We start from the raw sequence: 23,531 nt of genomic DNA, 5'->3' as shown, positions 1-23,531 counted from the left end.
GTGGAAAAAAGAGGTTAAAAAAAAACAAGAAGTAACCATGAACCACATAAGAAACTCTCATGGCAGGGAAAATATTCCCTCAGGAAAGTAAATGATAAATATCTTTACATTATGTCATTGAGCTGTTATCATTCACATCATTTCATTTTCAATTTTAAGGAAAAAAATACTTACTTCTGAACGCTTGTTCCAATATTAGCTAAAAATTCTTCCAGTTGTTCATTAAGATTTTCAGAACCCATCTTAAAGAAACTTATCTGGAGAGTGGGGAGTGGGGGGAATTGAACAATACAAAAATAGATTAAGCAATACTTAAAGTAAATCATATAAACAATCTCTAAGACACATGGTTAAGTAAAAAACAAAGGAATATTCCCATTTGTGTAAAAATACATTGTAGTTTGTGACTTCTACTGCACAGGGAGCCATTAAGGAAGTTAGACTTAAATTCCACTGCATATCCTTTTATATTTTTTGAATTGGAACAAGTAATATATACATATGGTTAACAATCTTTTAAAATTGGAAAATAAATTTTAAAGTATTTCCAATAAATTATATAAAGTATTTCATGTTTACTACAAAGATAAGTTTTCTATCTGAGGAATAATCAGTAAAGTACTCTTTTACCTAAATAGATTCAATTTTTTTTTTTTTTTTTGAGACAGGGTCTCGTCTGTCATCCAGACTGCACAATAAAACCTCACTGCAGCCTCAGCCTCCTAGGCTCAAGGGATCCTTCCATTTCAGCCTCCCAAGTTGCTGGGATCACCGAGGCATGCTACCAAGCCCAGCTAATTTTTTCATTTTTTGTAGAGATGGGGTCTCCCTACGTTGCTGAGGCTAGTCTCAAACTCCTGGACTCAAATGATCCTCCTACCTCGGCCTACCAAAGTGCTCGATTATAGGCATAAGGCACCGTGCCTGCCCTCAATTTTCTTTAAACTCTTGATTTTTAGGAGACTGACACTTTGTCTTATACTACCCAAATTTTCTAGCCCCCTTCCTGATGTACTCTTTGGGCACGTTGGAGTTCATCTATTATTTTTAACTCAGGAAGTATGCAAGGAATATGGGATAAACTCAAACTTGTTTATTCTTTTTCAGATCTATTATGAAGCAAGTGTTTAGTTGAAGCTCTAGCAATAGGTGTAACTCTGAAATTCATTTAGTTCTCTCAGTCCCCAGCTATGGTGAACAAGTGGTTTCATTTACCTAAAATATTTGAAATCTTCATTTGCAAGGAAAACCATTCTTCCTAACTTCCTTAAAATAATAGTCTGATGACATTTTAAAAATAACTTCTTAAAACACAGACATAAACAAGGATGTTGAAAATAGTTTATAATACCCTTATACTTAATGTAAATATCAAGCTTAATATAAAACTTTTAGGACAGTTATAATCCAAATACAGTACAGTATTTACCTGAGCTTGCATGTACCCAAGTAGAGGTTCTAACAATGCTATTTTCTTCTTGTACTGAAGAGTATTTAATGCACAAAAATAATGCATCATGGTCTGGTGTTGTTTCTTTCTGGATGTGTACACATCTTCTGTTACTTCATACTTCACCTTTGAATGAAAAGATTTAAATAATTAAGTAAATAATCTGCTATTATTTACTTAATTTTGTATTATCTTCAGTAGGAGCTGTGGAGAAGAGCCTACCCAAGGAATTGAGTATCACAAGCAATTGAGCATTAATGTTCCTGTTTTCTGATCTTTTAGAAATCCTTCAACATACTGGTTAAGCAAATTTTCCTGTTTAACTTCCAACCACATAATTTACAAAATGCACATTGAGCCCAGGCGTGGTGGCTCATGCCTGTAATCCCAGCACTTTGGGAGGCCGAGGCGGGACGATCACTTGAGGTCAGGAGTTTAAGAACAGCCTGGCCAACATGGTGAAACCGACTCTATTAAAAATGGAAAAAAAAATTAGCCAGGTGCAGTGGTACACACCTATAATTCCAGCTACTGGGGAGGCCGAGGCATGAGAATAGCTTCACCCTGGGAGGGGGAGGTTGCAGTGAGCCAAGATCACACCACTGTACTCCAGCCTGGGTGACAGAGAGAGACTGTCTCAAAAAAAAAAAAAACTGCATATTGAAAACAGAATTCTGTACGTAACTAAGAATGGTACAATAACTAAACTAAGCATGGCAGAGAAAGCTTACGACAAGGAGGAATGGCAGACAATTGTTTGTTATTAGCTTAGTCATTAGTCTTTGACTTTGATCAGTTCACAGCATACCATTCTCCCCTCCTGGTTCTCTCCCTATCAGTCTTCCTCTCTTGCACTTGCTTGTCTTCCTTCACCCATACTTGAAATACGTGTGCTCCCTAGAGTTCTTTTATTCAGACAACAAATATTTATTGAATACCTATTATGTAATAGGCATTAGGTTCTTCTGCCTTCCTGCTTTCCTTAGAATCCTCAAGTACGAAGAATATTCTAATATTCCAATACACCAATGACTCAATGACTCACAAATTTTATCTCCTCCCTCTCACCTTCCCAAGTGACAGAGTAAACACATCTCCAGCTGGGTTCTTTATGTGTGTTTATGTGCTAAAAATGTACAAAACTGAAGATAGTTTTGTACACAAAACCTGTTCTTCTGCTTTGTTTCTTACCTTTCTTAATTACTACAGGATCCATCCAGACATCCAAGAAATCTAGGACTCATTTTTTATTCCTCCTATTACCACAAGTCTTGTCAATTCTACTTAAAAAAATATCTCCCAAAAGTACTCCTTCCTCTCCATTTTCAGTAACAACCTTAGCTGAGGCCTTCATTGTATCTCTGCAAACTATTCCAATTCCTTTCACTGGATATCCTCTAGTCTTGTCCTCTTCACATTTTCATTAGTATGTTTGTTCTATAACACAATTGCATGATGTTATTCACCTACTTAGAATCCTTTGGCGGCTGTCCACTCCCTCTAACACAAATTTCAAGGTCATTAATATAGTAATCTGGTACTAATATACTTCTTACTCTTTCTGCCATATCTCCTAACATTTCCTTTATTGTCACAGAGTACTCTTAATCTTTACACTCTCCCAACTCCACCATGTGCCTCTGAAAGGCTGTTTTTCTTTCAGGAAAGCACTCTCTCCGATTCCAAACTGGTGTTATCCACTTATCTTTAATGTAAATGTCACCTTCTAAAAGTGTAACCTTTGCTGGCCATGTGTGGTGGCTCAAGCCTGTAATCCCAGCACTTTGGGAGGCCGAGGCAGGCAGATCACCTGAAGTCAGGAGTTCGAGACCAGCCTGGCCAACATGGTGAAACCCCACCTCTACTAAAAATACAAAAATTAGCTGAGCATAGTGGCTAACACCTGTAATCCCAGTTACTGGGGAGGCTGAAACAGGAGGATCACTTGAACCCAGGAGGCGGAGGTTGCAGTGAGCCGAGACGGAGCCACTGCACTCCTGCCTGGGAGACAGAATGAGGCCCTGTCTCAAAAAAAAAAAAAAAGTGTAACCTTTCCCAATTCACCAATCAAAGTGAACTGCTGCCCTCTCTGTGCTCTCTCAGCATTTTATTAAAACCCCTATTATTGTATTTAACTAATAACAGAGTTAATTCATGCCTTCTTGTCATCCTTGTACTCTGGTTCCTAGTCCACCTGCATGCCTTCACACAGGTAGCCTTCAATAAATGTGGAGTATCCAGTCTTTGAGGGCAGGAGTGAAGCCTATTCATGTTGTTCCCCCAAGGTACCCAACAGACTGCTTGACGTATATTAGGTGCTCAATGAATTTTTAAATAAAATGAAGTTGGTGACAGAGTGTTTTTTAAAATACTTTGAGCAGCCAGAAGTAATGTAAAATATATCAAATTTTATACCCAGAGCCTTTAACTACTTCTCTAAGGCCAAGTGACTAATAGAGATCTCAAATGTATACATTTTATCAATACACCATTAAGTAGTAGTCTGCAGCTAAAATTAGAAACGAAAAGGAAATCAATCTTTGTACTAAACTTTGTGTGAGAAACATTTCCTTTGTCACAGTAGCTGTTGCACAGTAAATCCTACCCAACTGTGGATTCCCACAAGCAGTCACTGTGTTTCCACCAGCAGCTGCAGCCAAGGCTGCAGACACCAACACCCAGGCACAGAGATCACCTCAGTCACAAGCATCTAGAAAGACCTACACATCAAGCCTTGGACTAGATGCTGGAGAAAGACATGATCTTAAGGCACGCCCAAAAAAACCTGTTAATACTCTGTACTCTCATCTTTACTTGAATGCATTTCTCCTCAAATATAGTGTAATATTTCTGTATTTCACTCCTTGAACAAATATCAAAAGATATATATGTCTATAAATAAGGAGGGCCTCATAACAGAATTTCATTATGTGTGTGACCACTCTATCTCAGAAGACATTTTTGAACACACCTATATATTCAAACAGAACCAATGCCATGTCATCAAAATACAAAGCAACAAAAGGCAATGTTATATACTGGGCATCAGTTAAATTTCCAGAATAGTTATATTTACTTATAACATCAAATTTTGGCAGAAGAAAATATTTTGTTTAAAGAGGTCAATGATTATCAGAAAGGTTTTGAACAGCTAGAAGGAAAGAATAAACTAATAGTAATATAACAAAACATACAAAGTAACTGCTGGCTCTATTTTGATAGAGGAAAAACTAAACCACCTAATGAATAGTTAATTATGACACTGAAGGAATAAATATGTACCACACCTTGTCATTTTCTCTTTTTTTTGATAAACGGCTATATCTATTAATCGCAGCATCATGATCTGGAAAAAAGAAATGAGTGTTAACAATACAACAGTACTTTTCAAAACTTACAAATGCTTTCAATGGTCTTCACATGTGCACCTTTCCACAAACGTACTAAAGCAAGAATTTCCTACCACATGACCACTGCACTCAATTTTCCCCACAGCCAAATTTCCCCTAAATTATGTGTCTACTTCTCAAATTGGTTTTTAAAAAATTAATTCCAAGGAAACTAATGCACTAAAGCTTTTTAAAGTATTTTCTAGTACAAAAATAGCAAACGCAGCTTAGACACAGTGGCATATGCCAATAGTCCCAGCTACTCAGGAGGATGGGGCAGCAGGATCACTACAGTATGCTATGATTGTGGCTTGAAAAGCCACTGCACTCCAACCTGGGCAACAGAGCAAGACCCTGTATCTTAAAATATATATATATATAACACTCATTAAAGAAAAATTGGGATATATAAAAGAACAAGAAGGGTAAAATATTACACTACCTCTTTAGGCATTATGAAGATAGTAACCTGTAAGACTTAATTTCCTTAAGATTTTTCTTAAATTACACTGTATAAACAGTGTAATTTAAGTAGCAATACTGATTTAAGTAATGTTCACTTATTTTTAATTGGTTTTTTTTCAATTATTACAAAGAATCTGGCCACAGATATGCACTGATAAACAAATACATCACTGCAAGAAATAAGTGTGCAAATTATAGGGCTTACCATTACTTGCAATCTGAAATACTTCCTTTAATGTTAGTATTTCTGAAAAAGTTCAAGAATAATTTAAGTTTGGCACATTTATGAAATACATTTGTTTGGAAAACAATAACTGCTACTTAAACTATAATTAAAACTCAAAATAATATTTCATAGTTCAACATTCAGGGTGAAAAAGCTACTCTGTGTTTCAGCTAGTCTATGAAACATTTACTATCATTAGCAACAGTTACACCACCAGAAAATCTACTTGCTACAAATTAGTGATATGACATAAAAACAAATTTAAAAACCCACTGTAAATGGTAAGATATGCAAATATTCTGATTTAGTGCCAGAATCATGCATTTTTGATATATGAATCTAAATATTCAAATGCTAAACGAGAAACAAAACATCTCATTAATAAGATTATGCCATTCAGTCCCCTTACACTGAAGAAAAGAGATCTTGTTCTAGACCTTAGAAATGACCATTCTTGAGGATCACAACCACAATTAGTAACTCCATCTTTAAAATACATTAGATGTATTGGTGACTGAGTAAAGTAAAGGTGGCACGGGTTGCAGTCCAGAAATGGTGTAGGTGTAGAATAGTATAATACACATTTGTCTGTATTCCATGTATAATTTAAATACTTTACCATTCACTGATACATTAGTTCAATATTTTTAATCTCTCTACATATTTTGGAAGTAAGTGTGTATGGCTGAGATTACAAGTTATGGGAAAGCAAAACCAACTCTATAAAACTCTCATTGTATCACCTAGTAATCCTAAGTGGGTAAAAATAAAACCCAGAAACGACTAGGTTGCAGATTGTTAGATGTGCCAGTACCCCTACCTCTTGCCACTTCGGCCCATACACACACCTCTATACCCTGTGCCACTATCCTAACTCAGGCCTTGGTCATATCTCACTGGACTCCCACAACTTCCCAGTCTAGTCTCCTACATAACAAGGCTACTCTATTCCATCCTCCAAAGGAATTGTGTCTCTCCTTAAAGACCCCCATTGGCTTCTCCTTTGCTCATAATCTGAAGTTCTAGCCTCTTAGCATGACCTACTCCCATCTACTCTATTTCTGGATTCATCTCCTGCCTCACTCTAACACATACAGCATTGCAGCCACACTGAGTTTCTTGCTACTGTCAAATAGGCTGTGTATTTCTAAAAGCCATATCTTGTGCACTCTAGTCCCTCTAACAGAACAATGACTGTTCTCCTGGCAAATTCCTCTTCACTGTTCAATGCTCATGTCACATCCTTGGGTAAAGCCTTGCTGACCCCCTCCTAACAGCCCCGCCAGCACCTTGCTCATTCCCTAATTATAAGAGACATAAGTGTTGTAATTATGCATGTGCCCACTTCCTTCTCTAGAATTTCTCAAAAGAGGGGATATCTTATCCATATCGGTATTTCTCAATATCTAGTTTGACATCTAGCAGGAGCTCCTATAAATGTTTGGTAACTGAGCAAAGTAAGAGTGGCATAGGCTGTCATCCAGAAATGGTGTAAGTACAGAGTAATATGCATTTTACAAGTGTTGATCTCACAGCCAATGAAAGTAAACATAAGCTTGACTTCAATACCTTTCAGATCTCTTTCTTTAAACTGGGTAATGGGGAACATCATGGCATCAGCAAGTTGAGTTGAAAGCACTGCATGACAAGAGCTAAGCTAGAAAAAGAAAGACCAAAAAGGCCAAATAACTATACACAGACATTTAACCAGTGTTATGTAAATTAAACATAATCTAGTAAAAATGGTTCTGATATATTTTATATAGGAAAACACTAAAAATTATGTGATATAGTACAAAATACTATATAGTCAAAAAATTCCATTTACTAAACTCTTAGAAAACACAGAATGACCTTGGATTTGGTAACACTTTCTTGCATATGACACTAAAAGCACAAGGAACAAGAGAAAATATATAATGGACATCATCAAAATTTAAAACTTCTATGCATGAAAGCGCACCATCAAGAAAGTGAAAAAAAAAAAAAACAACTCAGAATGGGAGAAAATATTTGCCAATTATGTATCTGATAAGTAACTTGTATCTAGAAAGAGAACTTTTACAACTAATAAAAAGACAACCAATTTAAAAACGGGCAAAGGATCTATATAATTTCTTCAAAGATAAACAAATGGCCAATAAGCACATGAAAAGGTGCTCAATATCATTAGACATTAAGAAAATGCAAATCAAAACCACAATGAGATACCATTTCACACTCACTCAGATGGCCATAATTTTTAAAAAAATTTTAAATACACACAAACTAAAATAATTGTTGGCGAGGATGTGGAAAAACTGGAACCCTCCTACATTGCTGGTAGGAATGTAAAATGGTGCAGGCACTGTAGAAAACAGTTTGGTGGTTTTCTAAAATTATTTAACTTTTAAATAAACATAAAATTACCATGCAATGATCCAGCAATCCCATTTCTGGGTACCTACTCAAGAGAACTGAAAACTGTTGTTCAAAACAAAAAAAACAATCTTGTATATGAATGCTCATAATAACATTATTTGAACTAGTTAAAAGGTAGAAACAACACAAATAAACAATGACTAGATAAACAGATACACAGATATATAAAGAGATGACCAGATAAACAAAACTTGGTATATCCATAACAATGAAATTTTATTTAGCCAAAAAAGGAATGAAGTACTGAGGCATATTACAACATGAATGAACCTTGAACACATTATGCTAAGTGAAAACAGACATAAAGAAGTCTAAAATTATGAGTCCATTTATATGAAATATCAAAAGTAGGCAAATCCATACAGAAAGAAGATTAGTGGTTGACAAGGGCTGAGGGAGCAGGGAGGTGGAAGTGACTGCTTGATATGGTTTGGCTGTGTCCCCACCCAAATCTCATCTTCAATTGTAGCTCCCATAATTCCCACATGTTGTGGGAGGGGCCCCATGGGAGATAACTGAATCATGGGGGCAGTTTCCCCCATACTGTTCTCGTGGTAGTGAATAAGTTTCACGAGATCTGATGATTTTCTAAGAGGTTCCCCTTTCACTTGTCTTTCATTCTCTCTCATCTGCCGCCATGTAAGATGTGCCTTTCGTCTTCCGCCATGATTGTGAGGCCTCCCCAGCCACATGGAACTGTGAGTCCATTAAACCTCTTTTTCTTTATAAATTACTCATCTCAGGTATGTCTTTATCAGCAGTGTGAAAACAGACTAATACACTGCTTAACGGGCACAAGGCTTCCTTTGAGATGATGAAAATGTCCTAAAAACCATACAGTGGTTATGGTTGCATAGCACTGTGAATGCACTAAATATCATGAATGACAAATTTTATGCTATGCGTACTTTACCACAATTTTTTTAAATGAAAAAAATTACATTATTTCTTTATCTTGATTTCCCGGTAAAACATTTTGCTATAATGGGTTATTAAAATATTTCAAAAAAATTACTTTTCCAGTTAAGAGTCTAGAAAACACAGGACTATCGAATGGTCCATGTGAAAAGAAGAGGTTTTACTGCAACAGTAGAGAACAGTTAACGATTCTCCATAATCTCTCACTACCTTTTTTTCCTCTTACCTTTTAGGTCTTTGTTTTAATGATTTGTTGTGATGACTGATTTGAGGAATTCAGGGTTGATTCTGGCTGTTTAGGATAGCAGGATTAATAAAGACTAAACAGTAAAATGTTGCTTAATAGCAAAAGAGCAACCACAAAGAACCCAGATGCAGTTCACTACCTAACTCTTCTCTCCCTGCCTACATCAAATGACACATGTCAAGACTGAATGTTAGCACGGACTGCGTATAGAAGAAGCACATCTGTAAGTTTATTCCTGGAAAACAATGTTTAATCAGGTAAAGAAAGTATTGTTTTGATGAGCCAGCCACCAGGATGTGGAATTAAGGTTCCTCTTTAGTCATCTCTTTAATAGAGCTTTATTCATAAAATAAAAGCTAAGCAACTGGGTAACTCAATTATAAGACCATTTAATCAAGCAAAATAAAATAAACGTTTACCTCATCTATAACTTTTGAAAACTGTTGCAATGTAGAGCTCATAACTTCATCATCACCTCCCAATGGAAAACGCTGAAAAGCAAGAAACAGATGAGGTAAAGTTTCAATGCTGTGTCTTTTGGGAATGACATTACTATAATTTACATTTTTAAATAACTTCAGAAAACTTCCAAAATTTTGAAAAAGCTCTAAAATATCATTTAACTAAAATTGTGTAATGTATATAATAAACATTAATTGTTTATTAAGTAAGCAATTGACATGGCATATTGGAATACCCACTGTACTGGAAGTTCAAAGATTTAGCATTTAGCTCCAGTTCCTCCAATAACACTGTAATGTTCAGCAAGTCACAGCTTCTTCATTTGTAAAAAGAAAACAAGTAAACTAGATAGCCTCTGTATTTAATATTAAATCATTAAAATTATCTGAACATAAGTGCTATCATGAAATTTCAATGGCATATTCTGTGAATTCAAGAAAACTTAAGGATTCTTGTTGAAAGTCTATCTATACAGATACTATACTTTTAAAATTATGCTTTTAAAACTTTGATATACAATACCTGTTTTTCATATTCTTTTAAAAGTTTTGAGGTCAGGTGTGTTGCTGCACTTAATTCATTCTATGGAAAAAGCATTCAAATTAGCATATTACTGGGAAAAAAGTTTTAGTTTTTTCTAATTAAATACCTAATTTATTTATTATCACTTAACATAAATATTGTACATGTTTTTTAAAACCTTCATTAAATCACTGGAAAGGGGTACTACCATTAAAGCACTTTAAAAGAAAACTCAAACCATAAAATAGACACTCTCCAGGAATTCAGCAGTGTTCCTGGTGTTTGTTTTTTGCTAATAAAAACTAAGCACTAAATACTTTAAAGCCTAGAAATAAACTGATATAACCTTAGCAAAATCTTTAGAGCATCTACGTTGATGACTGATTATTGCCCTCTGTAGATGCTGATACTAGACTACAGTAAGCACTTAATAACATACAACCAAAATGTGGTTGACCCAGTCATATAACATAGCAACACAGCCATATGAAAAACTTTAATTTAGTTTTTTTGGTGAATATAACAAAGAGAACATTTCTTTAACATATTAATCATATATCTCTGTAGTCAGAAAGCAAAGCTTCAGAGCCTGATCACAAGGAAAAACTAAACAACAACATAGCAACTCTTAAGTACATAATGAAAATGTGAAGCCAGAAAGCAAACAATATGAGAAGGGAAAAAAATAAAACTTGTACGCTTAATTAATCCCAAAGAAAGTATATTACAGAACCTAGGTTGCTGTTTAAGCTTATAATTAAGTTATCCAAACATAGCTTCAAATTTTATTGCTGGTCAATAAGAAAACTTAGTCATACCCTTCATCTTCTTGTACTCCAGAGGTACATCTAATTTTTAGTGCCTTCTTTTAACTAGACAGAGGCAGCCAACTTTCAAATCCTCCACTGAAAAAGGGAAAGTGTTGGCCAGGTGCAGTGGCTCACGCCTGTAATCCCAGCACTTTGGGAGGCCGAGGCGGGCAGATCACCTGAGGTCAGGAGTTCGAGACCAGCCTGGCCAACATGGTGAAACCCTGCCTCTACTAAAAATACAAAATTATCTGGGCGTAGTAGTGCATGCCTGTAGTTCCAGCTACTCAGGAGGCTGAGTCAGAAGAATTGCTTGAACCTGGGAGGTGGAGGGTGCAGTGAGCTGAGATTGCACCATTGCACTCCAGCCTGGGAGACATTAGCAAAACTCCATCTCCAAAAAAAAAAAAAAGGGGGCTGGGTACAATCTCAGCACTTTGGGAGGCCAAGGCGGGCGGATCACCTGAGGTCGGGAGTTCGAGACCAGCCTGACCAACATGGAGAAACCCTGTCTCTACTAAAAATACAAAATTAGCCAGGCGTGCTGGTGCATGCCTGTAATCCCAGCTACTTGAGAGGCTGAGGCAGGAGACTCACTTGAACCTGGGGTGTGGAGGTTGTGGTGACCCAAGATCACACTACTGCACTCCAGCCTGGGCAACAAGGGCAAAGCTCCATCTCAAAAAAAAAAAAAAAAAGTGGGGGTGGGGAAGTGCTCCATAAGATTGTAATAAGCATGATTAGGGAAAATACCAGTGATGACATGGGGTCTTCATTCAAATCTTAGGAAAGATCACTATCAGTGAGTTTAATGGGGGGTTCCCCCCAAACTATGTTTGGGGAGAATGGGCAGATGCTTCAATCGTCTATCACTTTTGTAGTACTACAAACTGTACACTAGTAGTTGAAATGTCAGTTCTGTAATACACTCAATGTTCATTAATCCATTCAACAAATATTTATTACTATGAGCCTAACACAGGGCTAAAGCAGTGGTAAACAAGACAGACACTATCTGTCCTCATGAGGCTTAAAGATTCGTGTTTTAAAAGCATCAAGTTAGTCCTTAGTGTTTTACCTGTGCATCATAAATCCGATGCATAGCTTGATACAACTGGTTCATATAGTTGGAAATAGCTGTGGCATCTTCTTCAAATACACCTAGTAAAGACCTTGTCTGTATAAAACAATAGCAATAAGTTTATGTTAATCATTATACAAATCAGATGGAAAAATATTTTTTCTAAAGGAAGCAAAAATCGTAGGATATTAAAGTTCTAGTAATTCTGAGTTTTAATCTATTTTGTCTCTTTTGATAGTAATGTTAAGAAGTCTTTTTTTTTTGTTCTTAGTTTCACTTCAACAAAGCAGAGGTATTTTCCAACTATGTCACACAAACTTTAGGAGAAACAACAGAGGTATATTTTCATAAACTAAAAATTCTATAAACTAAGAACAAATCAACAGAAACGTTCAAAGCTAAATTAACAGCATTCCATGTAGTATAAATATTTTAAATGTCTTACTTCAGGATAATTTAGTATGATTATTTCTTCTACAGTTTTTGCTAGAAGAGGCCAAACCCCTTCCTGTCCTAATCTAAAAATACCACAGTACACCCTCCCCAACATGGCCGACTCTTCAGCATATAAAATGCTAACTAGGTTTTTCCGAATGCACAATTTGGGGGTTTTCCTTTCTTCTTCTTTATACATGTCTATATTGTTTGGCTTTTGTTTTGTTTTGTCATTTTTCTACCATGCACATTTAAAAATTATCTTCATTTTAGGCCGAGCACAGTAGTTCATGCCTGTAATCTCAGCACTTTGGGAGGCCGAGGCAGGCAGATCATGAGGTCAGGAGATTGAGACCATCCTGGTTAACACAGTGAAACCCCGTTTCTACTAAAAATGCAAAAAATTAGCCGGGTGTGGTGGCACGTGCCTGTAGTCACAGCTACTCAGGAGGCTGAGGCAAGAGAATAGCTTGAACTTGGGAGGTGAAGGTTGCAGTGAGCCGAGATCACGCCACTGCACTTCAGCCTGGGCGGGCGACAAAGCAAGACTCTGTCTCAAAATAAAAAAATTTTTTTAAATTATCTTTATTTTAAGGGGGAAAGCTTATAAGTAAATGTTAAGAATGTCAGGCCGGGTGCGGTGGCTCACGCCTGTAATCCCAGCACTTTGGGAGGCCGAGGCGGGTGGATCACGAGGTCAGGAGATTGAGACCATCCTGGCTAACACGGTGAAACCCCATCTCTACTAAAAATACAAAAAAATTATCCAGGCATGGTGGCGGGCCCCTGCAGTCCCAGCTACTCAGGAGGCTGAGGCAGGAGAATGGCGTGAACCTGGGAGGCGGAGCTTGCAGTGAGCCGAGATCATGCCACCGCACTCCAGCTTGGGCAATAGAGGGAGACTCCGTCTCAAAAAAAAAAAAAAAAAAAGAATGTCAATAAAAATTTGTCAAAGATAAGGAAACTAAGGCTATCAAAGGCAAGGTAGACATACTCACATTACATCCCAAAGGCCCAGGGGAAGAATGAAAATACCAATAACTACTGGAGATAACTGCAGCTTAAAATCTAAAAGATATATTTTTATTCTAAAAATAATTTATGCCTCAGCCTTAGAAACTGTTGTGGGTGTCGCTGTTGTTGTTTGAGATAGGGTCTCATTCTTCTCCCAGGCTGGAGCAGTAACATGATCTCGGCTCACTGCAGCCTTGACCTCCTGAGCTCAAAAAATCCTCCCACCTCAGCCTCCCAGGTAGCTGGGACTACAGGCATGTGCCACCATGTCTGGCTACTTTTTTTCTATTTTTTGTAGTGACAGGGTCTCACTATGCTGCTCAGGCTGGTTTCAAACACCTGGGCTCAAGCAATTCTCCTACCTCAGCCTCCCAAAGTGCTGGGATTACAGGTCAGGTGTGAGCCACCACACATGGCCAAAAATTTTTTTTTCTTAAATCAACTTATTCCTTAGCTTCCTATTTTCAGAGGAGGAAGCTAAGTCAATATAGTATAAAGAAGGGGAAAGGACACAAAATCATGATGCCAGTAAGTCCCTATTTTCAGTCCTCCACTTCCCCAGGCCTCAGAGATTTAGATTTGACAGAATATTTTTCAAACACTCCACTACAATTCCATATAGTGCTATTTTAAGATGTAAAAAAGAAAGCATCAGGAAATCTTGTTTGGCTAGTGCCATTCTTAAAAAAAATCTGCCGCTTCGTTTCTGTTTTGTTTTTTTTTTTTCTAAAAATGGGTAATTCCAATTCAAGGAGTTACATATTTATGTAAAAACTTGTAGCATAATTAAATTTAAAAGCTCTTCTTAGCGCAAAGCAAGTTGAAACAGATTCCCTATTTTAAGCTAACAATATCAACTTCAACACTGGATAATTGCTGTTTGTTTAAAGTTAGTAGCTTAAAAAATAGAATCAATATGGTACCATTTCATCAAATCTACGATGGTATCCATTGTAAGATGCATCATTTTCATTTTTGTACTACTCAAACAAAACAATGCTGGCAATTAAGCTATGATTTAAGGTTTTCTTATGTCTTGAATTTTTTACCTTATATTTATGAAAACAGACCTTCACACAGAATTTTATCATATACAGCTCTCATGTAAACATAACAAATATAAGCATCATAAATTTATTTCTAAAACTTCACAGAGTTCGAATCTTATGAACCACTTTTCTTTTTTGTTTTTTTGTTTTTTGGTTTTTTTTGAGTCAGAGTCTCACTGTGTCGCCCAGGCTGGAGTGCAGTGGTGTGATCCTGGCTCACTGCACGCTCCGCCTCCCGGATTCATGCCATTCTCCTGCCTCAGCCTCCCGTGTAGCTGGGACTACAGGTGCCAGCCACCACACCCAGCTAATTTTTTGTATTTTTAGTAGAGACGGGGTTTCATCGTGTTAGCCAGGATGGTCTCGATCTCCTGACCTTGTGATCTGCCCGCCTCGGCCTCCCAAAGTGCTGGGATTACAGGCGTGAGCCACCGCACCGGGCCCATGAACCACTTTTCAACTCGAGAGTCATCAATATGCATGTTTTCCTATACATTATCATTCTCTGTGCCATGAGGAGGTAAGTATTTCTTAGAAGTACTCCATTTTTGTCCCTAATATTTTCTTCCAAGAAACTGATACTCATTCAGCAAATTTTGATGATGTCATTTGACATCTCACCAGGTGTCAAAAGAAGGTTTTCGGACAACAACCAGGACTGATATTCCTTTCTCAAATGGTGGCAAAATTGATCTGTTAGTTGAACACTGAGAGACTACACTTGGCCAGTATGCTACTAGGAGAAACAACCAAGTATGTACATTTGCAGGCAATGTGAAATACATTACTACTGCTACCTGGCTGATAGCAATTGTTAATATACCATCAACTCTAAGAGGAATCCCAATCAGAGACATCAAAATGTTGGGAGGAAAGGCACATCTCATGATTAATTCATATTATGCAAAAACAGAAGATCCCATTTGGGACTGGGGTTTGTCTTCACTGTTCTATCATAGATGAATCACTAAGATACATATCTACATATAAAATCAATTAATTTTCTAAAGATCATTATCTGTTCTTAGTAATTAACAAGGTTTATTTTGATTTTGATTTTCAAAACAACATATAAATATGGACAAGGCATCTACTATAAGCTTAAGATTTTCTGGCTCAATGGATGATCTTTTGCAGAACTGTCTGGTTTGGGCAAGGTAATTCCAAACATGCTTTTTCCCCACCTAGGTTCCAGGCAGTATTCTTAAAAGATGCTTGTTTGATCAGCTGGATTTTGGACTTGCAAATTCTCCCTAATTTAATACGTAGTTACTATAAATCAAAACTAAAAGAAGGGTAACTGTAATTCAGGATAGTCTTCCATCACTCCCAGGCTCTTTTTTTTTTTTTTTTTAAGAGCCAAAGCCTCGTTCTGTTACCCAGGCTGGAGTGCAGTGGTGTGATCATAGCTCACTGCAGCCACAGACTCCTGGACTCAATCGATCCTCCTGCCCTAGCCTCCTGAATAGCTGGGACTACAGGTGCATGCCACCACGCCCAGCTAATTTTATTTTTTGTAGAGATGAGGTCTTGCTATTTGGCCCAGGGTGGTCTTGAACCCCCACCCTCAAGTGTTTACAAGCATGAGCCACTGTGCCAGGCCAAGGCTCTTTTTTAGGTAGCAACTGGCAGGCCACTTTTGATTAGATCTAAATGATCTAAAAAAAATTAAAAACTAATCAAACAAAAAACTTTTAGGGCCTGGTACAGTGGCTCACATCTGTAATCCCAGCACTAAGGCCAGGAGTTCAAGACTAGCCTGGCCAACATAGTGAAAACCTGTCTTTACAAAAAAAAAATTTTCTTTTTTTTTTTTTTTTTTTTTGAGACGGAGTCTCGCACGGTTGCCCGGGCTGGAGTGCAACGGTACAATTTCGGCTCACTGCAACCCCCGCCTCCCGGGTTCAAGTGATTCTCCTGCCTCAGCTTCCCGAGTAGCTGGGATTACAGACGTCCACCACCACGCCCGGCTAATTTTTTGTATTTTTAGGAGAGACGGGGTTTCACTATGTTGGCCAGGTCGGTCTCAAACTCCTGACCTCGTGATTCACCTGCCTCGTCCTCCCAAAGTGCTGAGATTACAGGCATGAGCCACCACGCCCAGTCTTCTACAAAAAATTTTTAGATTAGTTGGGCTACTTGGGAGGCTGAGGAAGCAGAATCACTTGAACCCGGGAGGTGGAGGTTGCAGTGAGCCAAGATCATGCCACTGCACTCTAGCCTAGGCGACAAGAGCGAAACTCCATCTCCAAAAAATAAAAATAAAATAAAATAAAATTAGCTGAGCTTGGTGGCGTGTGCCCAGGAGTTTGAGGTTTCAGAGCTATGGCTGTGCCACTGCAATCCAACCTACGTGACAGTGAGACTCTGTCTCAAAAAAAAAACAAAAAACTTACCATGAGCTTTAAAAGTCTTCATATTCTTTGCTGCTCTGCTTCTTGGACTCTATTCTAGATAAAATAGTTCAAACTGAGAAGAAAATTTATGCTCCAAAGCATTAATCTCAGCCCTATTTATAAAAGCAAAACTTTGGGAAAACTCTAAAAGTCCAGCAAAGGGTTGTGAAATCAGTTAAGGAAATGTGTGGTCTTCAAATGTTTTTATTTGGAATGTAAAAACATGTGAAGATACTTAAGTGATAATGTTAAGTTAAAAGCAGGATAAAGATCATTATGCACAATATAATCTCAATTCCATTAAAACATGTAGAAGAAAAAAAAAACAGTAGAATAAAGAAAGCAAACTGTTAATAAGGTTTTGCTGGGTAACCAACAGGTAATTGTGTGTTATTCTTTTCTGGACCTTCCAATTTTTCTGAAGGAAGCAACTATTATTTCTTTTTAATCAGGGTCAAAAATAAAAACATGTCATTAAGACACAACAGCTGAGGTTCAGAGAAGTTGAATGATTTGCCCTAAAGCAGAAGGTAGTAAAGTGGCAGTGATGACTAAAAACCTCGTCAACCCTAGATCCAAGGCTTTGCATTCTGCCACAGGTTCGACCTAAGAATCACCTCCAAGTATGTACACTTCCTAAATCCCAGTTGTACCAATTAATTTTCCCAAGTAAATTTTACCTAGTTCAAATTTATTGCCTTTCAACATTGAAGGGATATCAATGTGTCTACTTCATTAAAAATTAGCTGGCACAGGCCAGGCGCAGTGGCTCACACCTGTAATCCCAGCACTTTGAGAGGCCAAGGCGGGCAGATCACCTGAGGTCAGGAGTTCGAGACCAGCCTGGCCAACATGGCAAAACCCCGTCTCTACAAAAAGTACAAAAACTAGGTGGGCGTGGTGGCACACGTCTGTAATCCCAGCTACTCAGGAGGCTGAGGCATGAGAATCACTTGAACCCGGGAGGCAGAGGTTGCAGTGAGCCAAGATTGCAACATTGCACTCCAGCCTGGGCAACAAGAGCAAAACCCCGTCTCAGGAAAAAAAAAAAAAAAAAAAAAAAAAAAAGCTGGCACAGTGGCACACGCCTGTATTCCCAGCTGCTAGGGAGGCTGAGGCAGGAGGATCACTTCAGCATAGGTGTTCCAGGACACAGTGCACTACGATAGTGTCTGTGAACAGCCATTGCTCTCCAGACTGGGAAACATAGCAAGATCCCCATCTCAAAAAACAAACAAATATATTGTAAAACGGACACTAGTATGATGCATGCTTGTAAAGAAAAAAAAAAACCACAATTCTTAAGTTGTAAACTAATCTGGCAAAAACCTCAAGACATTAGATGAGTCAAGAGTTTATCTCTGCCTCACAAGTCATTTCCAGGGCAGTGTGCAATCCATTCTGAGCCGTTTATAGTCTTTATGGGCTATTAAAAAAAAAAGCCAAGTAAGAGAAGAAAGGTAAGGCAACCTGTTGAATCTTACATAATAAAAAGTAAAATGACAAAGTACACCTGACCAATTCCACAAACTTTTTGCAAATCATCTGAAACAAATACAGTTTATAACTTTATATGGAGAAATCATCAAGAAAAAAATTGAACCGAGTATACTGGCAGTCAAGATAAACCAAATGTGAGTTTCTCTTTTTGTCACTATCAGCTGTTAAGAGTACATTAGCAGCAGGCAACTGGCCTGTGAAGATAACTTTCAGAATAAAAAAGAACAAATCAATTCTACAATCAGAGCCCCATTTCAACTTGGCAATTAACATTGGCACAAAATCCATGGCAGAAGTGCCATCCAGGAAAAGGAGATCTAGACCTCTTCTGCTTTTCTTCTTTGGGGGCCATGTTCAACTGTAAAGACACACGAAATGGTGCAACTGCATTTCTAAATCAGCAACAATTCAGAAATGTTTCATTCTAAATAGTGTCCAACCAGCAACACCGTCTTAAACCGTTTAAATTATCGTGTAAAACGGCTTAGAGATGAAGTTTTCCCTATGCAAGTTACAGCCCCTGCCAACATTTTAAAAAATATAGCTGCTTTCATTCTGCAGTACTGAAAACATATTAAATGGTTACATTTTCCAAAACTGTCTTAAGCTAGAGCAACCACATCAGCATCATTCCGACGCACAGAACACAGGGCTTTTATTTTGATGAGTTTATTAAGGCCAAGTCTGCAGGGAGCAGCGCAGCAGTCGCGGAGCGGCGAAGGCACCGTCCATCCCTCGCCGTGCACAGCTCGAGTGACAGCGACCACAGTCACGGCCGCGACACGGGCACATTCGGCGGGGAGAGCGGTCTTGGGCTCCGGGACCCGTCACGGGCTTTGCCATTAGGGCTCCACACACAACCTTACAGCCTCTCCCAAAGAAAAACGATCCATTTCCTTCCTTAGCTTGCTGAGCCTCGGAAATCATTAAATAAGACTATCGGGGTTTCTCTCCCTTCTGCAATTTTTCTGAAGAGGTTCTCAGGGAGAAAATTCCAGGATCGAGATTTGGCACCTCACATCACCGCGATAAAAACGGCGCCTTTCGTCAAATAAAAAGGACCCGCGCGCGTACGTGACCGCCCGGCCCACGAGCACCAGCGGCTCGGTCTCCGCCTGCGGCCCTCGGCCCAGCCGAGCAGGCCCACGCGGGCCTTGGGCGGCGGGCCCAGCCTCCACAACTCCGGGCGCGGCCTGCGACGGGCGGTGACCTAGGGCGGCGGCGGCCCCCACCTGGGCCGGGGCGGGCACCTGCGGGAGCCGCGGAGGCGCCAGACCTGGGGTCGGCCAGCTGGGCTCTCCCTCGTCGCCCACCAGCTCCCGCGCCTCACCTGCGGGCTGTCCTCCAGCGTCTCCTCGATGGGCAGCTTGTCGATCCCCGGCATCGTGGCGGAGGGAGGGCGGTGGCAGGAGACGCAGCTGCCGCCCACAGCTCCCCGCGCCGGCCCGCCCGCCGCAGCTGACCCCGGCCCGCCCTCTCCGGCAAGGGCTGCAGCCGTCCCCGCCCGCACAGCCTTCTCCAGGCGCCGAGCGGCCGTGCGGGAAATCCCGCCCCCTCGGCCTCCCTGCCCCGCCTCCCGGCGCGTCCATTGGCTCCCGGGGACGCCCATCCGCGCTGCGGCGGTGGTCGGGAGGTTCCCGTGCGGCGCTAGGCTCTCCCGCGAGCGCGGGCGTCGGAAGCGGCGGAGGTGGCAGTGTCTGCCCTGGGATGGCCTTCCCTGCACGCGCGCGTTTGTATCTAAATCGCAGGGGACCGTCTCTTCCTCAGCTTGCCGGCGCGAGGAGCCAGAGCCTCGAGTTAGGGCCACACGGGGGAATTTGGGGCGGGTTGACTTTTCCCGCAACATATTTTGTCAGAGACCTTGGAGAAAGTCCTACTGCTGGCGCCTTTTAGTTTCCTCAGATGATAACATTCCCAACTCCGCTCGAAGCGTCCAGTCTTAATCCCCTCCAGCAGAATGGTGCTGACTAACTCAGATGTCTGAGATCCGCAGCTGTGTCAATAATAGGGCTTTCTGGCAAACTTGTGAACGTAGGCTCGAAATTGTTTTTCTGGACGCTTGAATATCAGTATATTCAGTTGAAAACATGTGATTTTGTTGCCAGTTTATCAGTTCCTACCTGGCCTCCCGAGGTCAGTCCTTCAGGACTGACGCTGCAACTCCAACTCCCATGTTTCTTTTAAATCACAAAGGAAAATATCTTTTAAAAATCAGGATACACTGATTAATTATGTTAGTAACTAATTGGCATTTGTTGAATCAAAAAGTTTTGGAAGCGTTAAATAGTTTTAGCCTCTAATTTTACAATAAAGTGAAGCTCAAAGTTGGGAATTTGACCGGATGAGGGCTACAAGCCTATCCTTTCCTCCTCCCTCTTCATCTTTCCCAACCTGTCACCCTGGCTCGTTTATGTCTCTGTATAGTTGTAGGCTTTCATCATTATACAGAGAAAATAACAAAGTAAGTAGTGTCTTCTAAACATCTAGCCATTAATTCCACCAATCCATTCCATTTTCATTCAAGAAATACCAGAGATGCTGAGTAAAGATTAATTAGCTGCCTGGTTCCACAGATACATGGGAACAAATCCAGAATAGTAGTAGCTCAAATCCAAATATAGTAACAAATAGAAGTTATATATTTTAAACGAAAATAGTAGATTTTCCCATGATCTCTTGAAAGAAAAATAAAATTATATTTTTAAAGTTTTGTTGAGTAGACTTGCATTGTAGTTTTACGGAATTATTTTTAGTGTTACAATCTTTAAAAGTTTTCCCCTTAGATTGTTTATCAGCCAGTCTCTCTCTCCCGAAGAGTTCTTTAGTTTTTGAGGAAGTTGATTTGGAGGCAGTTCTTACAATGAGTTAAGGGTTCCCAGTTGTGTTACAGTTTCTTTTTCCTTGATATCTCATTTCTACTCTGCCAACAAGAACACCATGCACCCCAGCTCTAAAGAAGGAAGACTTTCAAGGTAAGTGACCTTCCTGATTGAACTGAGTTAGATTTTAAATGAAGAAAGGTTGTGGCAACTGTTAAGAATCAGGAGTAAGTGAGGAGTGTAAACAATGTATAAGAAAGAAAAAAAAAAAGGCCTGGCGCTGTGGCTCACGCCTGTAATCCCAGCAATTTGGGAGGCCGTGGCAGCTGGATCACCTGAGGTCAGGAGTTCAAGACCAGCCTGCCCAACATGGCGAAACCCAGTCTCTACTAACAATACAAAAATTAGCCGGGCGTGGTGGCGTGCCTGTAGTCCCAGCTACTCAGGCGGCTGAGGCAGGAGACTCAGTTGAAGCCGGGAGGCCCAGGTGCAGTGAGCTGAGATCATACCACTGCGCTCCGGCCTGGGCGACAGAGCAAGACTACGTATCAAAAAAAAAAAAAAAAAGAAAAGAAAAGAAAAGTATTTGTTACCTAATTAACTTGGCCAAACCAAATAATTCCGATGAAAAATTCGATTAGTTATCTGAATTATCTGGGTGTGGTATTGTCAAGTTAAATGGTTTCCTTCTTAGTATGTTATGTACATCTAAACTGTGTTTCTGTAAAGGACTCTCAAGAGGCCATTACATTATCGCAGAATGGCAAGGAATTCTTGCCGGACTCAGCTGGTTAAAAAATAAAACAGGCTGGGCGCGGTGGGGCTCACGCCTGTAATCCCAGCACTTTGGGAGGCTGAGGCAGGCGGATCAAGAGGTCAAGAGATGGAGACCATCCTGGCCAACTGGTGAAACCCCGTCTCTACCAAAAATACAAAAATTAGCTGGGCATGGTGGCACACGCCTGTAGTTCCAGCTCTTTGGGAAGCTGAGGCAGGAGAATCGCTTGAACCCGGGAGGTGGAGGTTGCAGTGAGCCGAAACTGCACTCCAGCCTGGGCGACAGAGCGAAACTCTGTCTCAAAAACAAAAAATAAATAAAAATGAAAAAATAAAACAAACAAAAACAGGTTCACATTCAGTTGGATGGAGAGGTAGGTTTAGTCAAATCTAGTTTTAACCTATTTGTACTAGAATCCAGTTTTAACCTTCCATTTGGATTCTCTAGCTTTAGGCCACTGTATACCCTGCTCATCCAAAAATATGGTTGTATTTCCTAAGTTAAAACATCTCCAAAGCTGCAAAATTCATAGTCCTTTTTGATAACCACTTTAAGTTTATTCAGCCTACGTTTTGTGCAGTTAACCAAACTCAGTTCATTTTAAGCCAGTTTTCTTTCATACAGGAAATGAGGCTTGTTCAGAGAATGCCTTAGGGGTTACTGGCGACTCGTGTGGGTAGTAGAGTAAAAACTTTGGGCAACTGGTTAATTTTATGGAAAGCAAGTCAGGATTAAACAACATCCACTAAAGATTTCTTTGAGATGTTTCACATATATACCTTGAGACATTTCACACGTATAATTTACAACAAAAGGACGTACAGTCTTGTAAATAGAGTTGTTAATTATTAGTCTCCTAAAATTATATTTGGTCTTATAATTAGGTTTTTACATGATACTCCTTGAAGTTCTGGTCTGTGATCTGTAATAGGAAAGAATCCAATAACCCAAGTGATGCTGGTGCTTTACTTTTAAAAATTATCCCTTTAGGTCAGTGGTTTCCAAACTTAATGCACACATAAAAGTTATCTGGGAAGGTTGTTAGCATACAGATTCCTGAGCCCTGCTGGAAGATTTTGGTGTAGTAGGTCAGAGTCAGGGCTGGGAATCTCTCCAGTTAAGTCTGAAGTGGGTAATCCACAAACCACATGAGGAAAAACTCTATCCAAGATGGAGAATGATCATTTCCCTTTCCTAAATCACTTTGTATTTAAAAAAAATTTTTAAAGAGTCAGGTGGGCACAGTAGCTCATGCTTGTAATCCTAGCACTTTGGGAGGTCAAGGTGGAAGGATTGCTTAAGCTCTGGAGTTTGAGACTAGCCTGGGCAACACAGAGACACCATCTCTACAAAAAAAAATTAAATTAAATTAAAATTTTAAAAAATTGGCCTGGTGCAGTGGCTCATGCCTGTAATCCCAGCACTTCGGGAGGCCGAGGCGGGTGGATCACCTGAGGTCAAGAGTTCAAGACCAGGCTGGGCAACATAGTGAAACCCCGTCTCTGCAAAAATTAGCTGGATGTGGTGGCAGGTTCCTATTATCCCAGCTA

General features: G+C 39.6%; 2 protein-coding genes across 10 annotated transcripts in view, besides 2 other annotated features; one reads left to right on the top strand and one right to left on the bottom strand.

Annotated features, from left to right (window-relative positions):
* Positions 1-19,923, bottom strand: part of APPL1 (adaptor protein, phosphotyrosine interacting with PH domain and leucine zipper 1) — a 45,743-nt gene extending 25,820 nt beyond the window's left edge. Inside the window, exons 1-10 of one of the 2 annotated variants that reach the window (XM_011533583.4) lie at positions 19,715-19,923; positions 16,885-16,938; positions 11,988-12,086; positions 10,101-10,160; positions 9,536-9,607; positions 7,100-7,187; positions 5,510-5,551; positions 4,738-4,796; positions 1,430-1,576; positions 175-257 (exon numbers count right to left, since the gene is read on the bottom strand). In XM_011533583.4, coding sequence (XP_011531885.1) covers positions 175-257; positions 1,430-1,576; positions 4,738-4,796; positions 5,510-5,551; positions 7,100-7,187; positions 9,536-9,607; positions 10,101-10,160; positions 11,988-12,086; positions 16,885-16,887 — 653 coding nt within the window. In that variant the 5' untranslated portion in view covers positions 16,888-16,938; positions 19,715-19,923. The remainder of the gene's footprint in view (positions 1-174; positions 258-1,429; positions 1,577-4,737; positions 4,797-5,509; positions 5,552-7,099; positions 7,188-9,535; positions 9,608-10,100; positions 10,161-11,987; positions 12,087-16,884; positions 16,939-19,714) is intronic. The other variant, NM_012096.3, reaches the window with a different exon arrangement.
* Positions 12,451-12,590: an enhancer, noted in NCBI's record as "active region_19986". NCBI's record gives its function as "activates an Ori minimal core promoter by ATAC-STARR-seq in GM12878 lymphoblastoid cells {active_cell/tissue: GM12878}" and the evidence as "EXISTENCE:reporter gene assay evidence [ECO:0000049][PMID:35858748]".
* Positions 19,466-20,125: a silencer, noted in NCBI's record as "silent region_14480". NCBI's record gives its function as "represses an Ori minimal core promoter by ATAC-STARR-seq in GM12878 lymphoblastoid cells {active_cell/tissue: GM12878}" and the evidence as "EXISTENCE:reporter gene assay evidence [ECO:0000049][PMID:35858748]".
* HESX1 (HESX homeobox 1) overlaps positions 20,037-23,531 on the top strand; it is a 29,778-nt gene continuing 26,283 nt past the window's right edge. For 2 of the 8 annotated variants that reach the window (NR_164757.1, NM_001376061.1), the window contains exons 1-2: positions 20,037-20,845; positions 21,316-21,356. The gene's annotated coding sequence lies outside the window, so the exon portion shown is untranslated. Of the gene's footprint in view, positions 21,357-23,531 lie in introns of all 8 variants that reach the window. The other 6 variants (NM_001376059.1, NM_001376058.1, NM_001376060.1 and 3 more) reach the window with 3 other exon arrangements.

This window comes from Homo sapiens, chromosome 3, assembly GCF_000001405.40.
Source record: "Homo sapiens chromosome 3, GRCh38.p14 Primary Assembly".
Taxonomy (NCBI): Eukaryota; Metazoa; Chordata; class Mammalia; order Primates; family Hominidae; genus Homo; species Homo sapiens.
Note: the sequence above shows the minus strand (reverse complement) of the source record. Positions and strands in the feature narration are given on the sequence as shown.